Source organism: Homo sapiens, chromosome 5 (genome assembly GCF_000001405.40).
Source record: "Homo sapiens chromosome 5, GRCh38.p14 Primary Assembly".
Taxonomy (NCBI): domain Eukaryota; kingdom Metazoa; phylum Chordata; class Mammalia; order Primates; family Hominidae; genus Homo; species Homo sapiens.
Genome location: NC_000005.10, coordinates 169,371,940 through 169,379,199, shown reverse-complemented (window position 1 = coordinate 169,379,199; position 7,260 = coordinate 169,371,940). Strand labels below are relative to the sequence as shown.

Genomic DNA, 7,260 nt, shown 5'->3' with positions numbered 1-7,260 from the left:
AGACTTTGCTGAAGTTGCTTATCAGCTTAAGGAGATTTTGGGCTGAGACAATGGGGTTTTCTAAATGTACAATCATGTCATCTGCAAACAGAGACAATTTGTCTTCCTATCTTCCTATTTGAATATCTTTTATTTCTTTCTCTTGCCTGATTGCCCTGGCCAGAACTTCCAATACTATGTTGAATAGGAGTGGTGAGAGAGGGCATCCTTGTTTTGTGCCAGTTTTCAAAGGGAATGCTTCCAGCTTTTGCCCATTCAGTATGATACTGGCTGTGGGTTTGTCATAAATAGGTCTTATTATTTTGAGATATGTTCCATCAATACCTAGTTTATTGAGAGTTTTTAGCATAAAACAATGTTGAATTTTATCGAAGGCCTTTTCTGCATCTATTGAGATAATCATGTGGTTTTTGTCTTTGGTTCTGTTTATGTGAGGGATTACATTTATTGATTTGCATATGTTGAGCTAGCCTTGTATCCCAGGGATGAAGCTGACTTGAAAGTTTTAATCATAAAAGGATGCTGGATTTTGTTTCTGCATCTATTGAGATGATCATGTGATTTTTGTTTTTAATTCTGTTTATGTGGTGTATCACATTTATTGACTTGCATATGTTAAACCATCCCTGCGTCCCTGGTGTGAAACCCACTTCATCATGGTGGATTATATTTTTGGTATGTTGTTGGATTTGGTTAGCTAGTATTTCGTTAAGGATTTTTGCATCTACGTTAATCAGGGATATTGGTCTGTAGTTTTCTTTTCTTATTTTTTTGAGATGGAGTTTCACTCTTTCACCCAGACTGGAATGAAGTGGTGTGATCTTGACTCACTGAAACCTCCACCCTCCAGGTTCAAGCAATTCTTCTGCCTCAGCCTCCCAAGTAGCTGGAATTACAGGCATGTGCCACCATGCCCATCTGATTTTTGTATTTTTGTAGAGATAGGGTTTCACCATGTTGGCCAGGCTGGTCTCGAGCTCCTGACCTCAGGTGATTCACCCATTTCAGTCTCCCAAAGTGCTAAGATTACAGGCATGAGCCCCCGCACCTGGCCTGTAGTTTTCTTTTTTGGTTATGTGCTTTCCTGGTTTTGGTATTAGGGTGACACTGGCTTCATAGAATGATTTAGGGAGGATTCCCTCTTCCTCTATCTTGTGGAATAGTGTCAATAGGATTGGTACCAATTTTTTGAATGTCTGGTGGAATTCTTCTGTGAATCCGTCTGGTCCTTCACATTTTTTTGTGTGTGTGTGTGTCGGTAATTTTTAAATTACCATTTTAATCTCACTGCTTTTTAATGATCTGTTCAAGGTATCTAATTCTTCCTGCTTTAAGCTAGGAGGGTTGTATCTTTCCAGGAATTCATCCATCTCCTCTAGGTTTTCTAGTTTGTGCATATAAAGGTGTTCATAGCAGCCTTGAATGATCTTTTGTATTTCTGTGATGTCAGTTGTAGTATCTCCATCTCCTTTCTAATTGAGCTTATTTGGCTCTTCTCTCTTCTTTTCTTGGTAAATCTTGCCAATGGTCTATCAATTTTATTTATTTTTTCAAAGAACCAGTTTTTTTTTTATTTCATTATCTTTTGTATTTTTTTGTTTGTTTGTTTCAATTTCATTTAGTTCTGCTCTGATCTTAGTTATTTCCTTTCTTCTGCTATGTTTGAGTTTGGTTTGTTCTTGTTTCTCTAGTTCCTTGAGGTGTGACCTTAGATAGTCTGTTTGTGCTCTTTCAGACTTGTTAATGCAGGCGTTTAAGGCTATGAACTTTCCTCTTAACACCACCTTTGTTGTGTCCCAGAAGTTTTGATAGATGTGTCACTATTGTATTTCAGTTCGAAGAATTTTTTAATTTCCATCTTGATTTCATTTTTGACCCAATGATCATTCAGGGGCAGGTTATTTAATTTCCATGGTTTTGAAGGTTCCTTTTGAAGTTTATTTCCAGTTTTATCCACTGTGGTCTGAGGGAGTACTCGATATAATTTCAATTTTCATAAATTTATTGAGGTTCATTTTGTGGCCTATCATATGGTCTATCTTGGAGAAAGTTTCATGCGCTGATGAATAGTATGTATATTATGCGGTTGTTGGGTAGAATGTTCTGTAAATATCTGTTAAGTCTGTTTGTTCCAGGGTATAGTTTAAATCCATTGTTTGTTTGTTGACTTTCCATCTTGATGACCTATCTTGTGCTGTCAGTGGAGTATTGAAGTCCTCCACTGTTATTGTGTTGCTGTCTATCTCATTTCTTAGGTCTATTAGTAATTGTTTTATAAATTTTGGAGCCCCAGTGTTAGGTGCATATATATTTAGGATTGTGATATTTTCCTGTTGGACAAGGCTTTTTTATGATTATATAATAATTGTTTATCATTATATAATTATATCATTATATATCATTATATAATGTGACATTATATAATGTCACAATGCTGTTTCTTTAAAATTTGTTTTGTCTGATATAAGAATAGCTACTCCTGCTCGCTTTTGGTGTCCATTCGCATGGAATGTCTTTTTCCACCCCTTTACCTTAAGTTTATGTGATTCCTTTTGTGTTAGGTGGGTCTCATGAAGGCAGCAGATGGTTGGTGAATTCTTATCCATTCTGCAATTCTGTATCTTTTAAGTGGAGCATTTAAGCTATTTACATTCAACATTAGTATTGAGGTGTGAGGTACCACTCAATTCATTGTGCTATTTGTTGCCTGTATATATATTTATTATTATTATTGTACTTTTGTTTTATAGGTCCTGTGAGATTTATGCTTTAAAGAAGTTCTGTTTTGATGTGTTTCCCGGATTTGTTTCAAGATTTAGAGGTCCTTTTAGCAGTTCTTGTAGTGCTGGCTTGGTAGTGGTGAAATCTCTTAGCATTTGTTCATCTGAAAGAGACTGTATCTTTTCTTCATTTATGAAGCTTACTTTCTCTAGATGAAAAATTCTTGGCTGATAATTATTTTGTTTAAGGAGGCTGAATATAGGGTCCCAATCCCTTCTAGTTTGTATGGTTTCTGCTGAGAAATCTGCTGTTAATCTGATAGGTTTTCCTTTGCAGGCTACCTGGTACTTTTGTCTCACAGCTTCTGAGATTCTTTCCTTTGTCTTAACTTTAGATACCCTGATGACAATGTGCCTAGGCAATGATCTTTTTGTGATGAATTTCCCAGGTGGTTTTTTTTTTTTTTTTTTTTTTTTTGAGACACAGTCTCGCTCTGTCACCCAGGCTGGAATGCAGTGGCGTGATCTCGGCTCACTGCAAGCTCCACCCCCTGTGTTCAAGCCATTCTCCTGCCTCAGTCTCCCAAGTAGCTGGGGCTACAGGCATGTGCCAACACACCTGGCTAATTTTTGTACTTTTAGTAGAGACCAGGTTTCACCATGTTAGCCAGGATGGTCTTGATCTCCTGACCTTGTGATCCACCCGCCTCAGCCTCCCAAAGTGCTGGGATTACAGGAGTGAGCCACCGCACCCGGCCAGCCCCAGGTGTTCTTTGAGTTTCTTGTATTTGGATGTCTACATCTCTAGCAAAGCTGGGGGAGTTTTCCTCGATTATTTCCCCAAATATGTTTTCCAAACTTTTAGATTTCTCTTCTTCCTCGGGAATGTTGATTATTCTTAGGCGTGGTCATTTAACATAATTCCAGACTTCCTAGAGGCTTTGTTCATATTTTCTTATTGCTTTTTCTTTGTCTTTGTTGAATTAGGTTAATTTGAAAACCTTGTCTTTGAGCTCTGAAGTTCTTCTGCTTGTTTGATTCCATTGCAGAGACTATCCAGAGCATTTTGCATTTCTATAAGTGCATCCATTTTTTCCTGAATTTTTGATTGTTTTTTATTTATGCTATTTCACTGAACATTTCTCCCCTAATTTTTTGTATCATTTTTTGACTTCCTTACTCTGGGCTTTGCCTTTCTCTGGTGCCTCCCTGATTAGCTTAATAACTAACTTTCTGACTTATTTTTCAGGTAAATCAGTGATTTCTTCTTGGTTTGGATCCGTTGCTGGTGAGCTAGTGTGATTTTCTGGGGGTGTTAAAGAACCTTGTTTTGTCATATCACCAGAGTTGGTTTTCTGGTTTCTTCTCATTAGGGTAGGGTCTGTCAGAGGGAAGGTCTAGGGTTTAAGGCTGTTGTTCAGATTCTCTTGTCCCACAGAGTGTTCCCTTGATGTAGTACTCCCCCTCTTTTCCTAGGGGTGTGGCTTCCTGAGAGCTGAGCTGTAGTTCAGCTGATTGTTATCTCTCTTCTTGATCTAGCCACCCAGCAATTCTACCAGGCTCGGGCTGGTACTGGGGGTTGTCTGCACAGAGTCCTGTGATGTCAGCCATCTGGATCTCTCAGCCGTGGATACCAGCACCTGTTCTGGTGGCAATGGCAGGGAAGTGAAATGGACTCTCTGGAGGGCCTTAGCTTTGGTTTTTTAATGCACTATTTTTGTACTGATTGGCCTCCTGCTGGGAGGCACTTTCAAGAGAGCCTCAGCTATGGTAGTATGGGGAGGAACAGACAGTTGGCAGGACCCTGGAACTCCCAAGAGTATATGCCCTTTATCTTCAGCTACCAGGGTGGCTAGGGAAGGACCATTAGGTGGGGGGCAGGGCTAGGTATGTCTGAGTTCAGACTCTCCTTGGGCACGGCTTGGTGTGCCTGCTGTGGGGGGATGGGAGTGTGGTTCCCAGGTGAATGGAGTGATGTTCCTAGGATAATTATGGCTGCCTTTACTCTTTCATGCAGGTTGCCAGGGAAGTGGGGGAAAGCCAGCAGTCGCCCAGCTCCCTTGCAACCCAGAGGGCCGGTCTCACTCCCACTATGCCCCGCCTCCAATAGCACCAAGTCTGTTTCCAGCAGTGGGTGAGCAGGGCAGAGAACTTGTCCCAGGCTACCCGCCTCCCAGTTGCAAAAGCAAGTAGGGCTTTCCAGCTTCCCCCACCTGTGGAGTCGGCACACCGGTTTCACGCCCTCCCCTGAGTTCTGGCCAGGAGACCTCTCGATTGGTTCAAATTGTTACAGAGTTCAGCTGGAGGTTTCCTTCTCCCCGTGGCCTTTTCCCAGTACCTTGGGCAGCCCACCCCAAGGACCCCGTGAGGCAAGGCAAAAACGGCTTGCGAGGGGACCCAGCAAACCCACAGGGCTTTTTCTGCTGCTTCCTCTACCCCTGTATTTTGCTTGGCTCTCTAAATTGACTCAGCTCCAGGTAAGGTCAGAATCTTCTCCTGTGATCTAGACCTTCAGGTTCCCCAGTGAGGGTGTGTGTTCAGGGGTGGACGATCCCCCACTCCCACTTCCACAGTTTGGGTGCTCACAGTATTTGGGATGTCTTCCAGGTCCTGCAGGAGCAATCCATTTCTTCAGAGGGTCTGTGGGTTCTCTCAGTTTTCCTGATTTATTCCTGCAGTTGTTCTGGAGCAAAAGTTCATGATGTGAGCCTCCATACACTGCTTGCTTTGTCCGAGTGGGAGCTGCAACCTAGTCCTGCCTCCTGTGTGCCATGATCCCCCCCACGGTACATTATTATTGACTATAGTCACCCTTCTGTACATTAGGTTAGGATGTTTTTTCTTTATCTCTGAAAAAATTCTTCTCTTTATTGTGACCCATTTTTCTCTTCCAGTTGCTTTAAAAGTAAATCTGGATTTTGATATCCAGCATGTTATCTACTTATTACTATCTCCATTCACAGATTGAGGACACCCTCAATTCATTTAATTAAATTTGAAAAACATTTTAAAAATTCAGTAGCCTTAGGGGTACGATGGTGGTTTTTGGTTACATGGACGAACTGTAGAGTGGTTAAGTCTGGGATTTTAGTGTACCCATCACCCAAGTAGTGTACATTGCACCCAATAGGTAGTTTTTCATCCCTTATCCCCCTCCCACCCTCCCCACTTCTTAGTCTCCAATGTCCATTATACCACTCTGTATGCTTTTGTGTACACATAGCTTAGTTCCCACTTATAAATGAGAACATGTGGTATTTGGTTTTCCATTCTTGAGTTACTTCACTTAGGACAATGGCCTCTGAGTCCATCCAAATTGCTGCAAAAGACATTATTTCATTCTTTTTTATGGCTGAGTAGTATTACATAATATATATATCATAAAATACTATTTTACACATGTAAAATGCAGTATATATACTGCATTTATATATATTCTACATATATACTATATATATACACACACATATATATGTATATACACATATACACACTGCATTTTCTTTATCCACTCATTGTTGATGGGCACTTAGGTTGATTCCATATCTTTGCAATTGTGAATTGTGCTGCAATAAACATACACGTGCAGGTGTCTTTGTTCTTTGTGTCTTTTTGATATGACTCCTTTTCCTTTGGGTGGAAGGGGAATGCAGGATCAAATGGTAGGTCCACTTTTAGTTCTTTGAGAAAATTCCGTAGTTTTCCATACAGGTTGTAGTAATTTACATTACCACCAGCAGTGTATAAGCATTCCCTTTCACTACGTCTGCATCAACATCTATTGTTTTTTGACTTTTTAATAATGGCCATTCTGCCCAGGCAAAGATTTCATGATGAAAACATCAAAAGCAATTGCAACAGAAGCAAAAGCTGACAAATGGAATCTAATGAAACTAAAAAGCTTCTGCACAGCAAAAGAAGCTATCATCAGAGTGAACAGACAACCTACAGAATGGGATAAAAGTTTTGCAATCTGGCTGGGCACCATGGCTCACGCCTGTAATCCCAGCACTTTGGGAGACCGAGGCGGGCGGATCATGAGGTCAGGAGATCGAGACCATCCTGGATAACATGGTGAAACCCCGTCTCTACTAAAAATACAAAAAATTAGCCTCGCGTGGTGGCGGGTGCCTGTAGTCCCAGCTACTCGGGAGGCTGAGGCAGGAAAATGGTGTGAACTTGGGCAGTGGAGCTTGCCGTGAGCAGAGATCACGCCACTGCACTCCAGCCTGGGCGGCAGAGTGAGACTCCGTCTCAAAAAATAAATAAATAAAATTTTGCAATCTATCCATCTGACAAAGGTCTAATATCCACAATCTACAAGGAACTTAAACAAATTTACAAGAAAAAAAAACATTAAAAAGTGGGCAAAAGACATGAACAGACACTTCTCAAAAGAAGACATTTATGCAGCCAAGAAACATGAAAAAAGCTCAACATTACTGATCATTAGAGGACTGCAAACCAAAACCACAAGGAGTGGCCAGTCAAAATGGCGATTATTAAAAAGTCAAGAAACCACAAATGCTGACAAGGCTGT

The 7,260-nt window shown here is 40.8% G+C and overlaps 1 annotated feature.

The window, feature by feature from the left end:
• Window positions 4,820–5,321: an enhancer, noted in NCBI's record as "H3K4me1 hESC enhancer chr5:168800883-168801384 (GRCh37/hg19 assembly coordinates)". NCBI's record gives its function as "activates a minimal SCP1, AML or CMV promoter by ChIP-STARR-seq in primed H9 embryonic stem cells {active_cell/tissue: H9 hESC(primed)}" and the evidence as "EXISTENCE:reporter gene assay evidence [ECO:0000049][PMID:30033119]".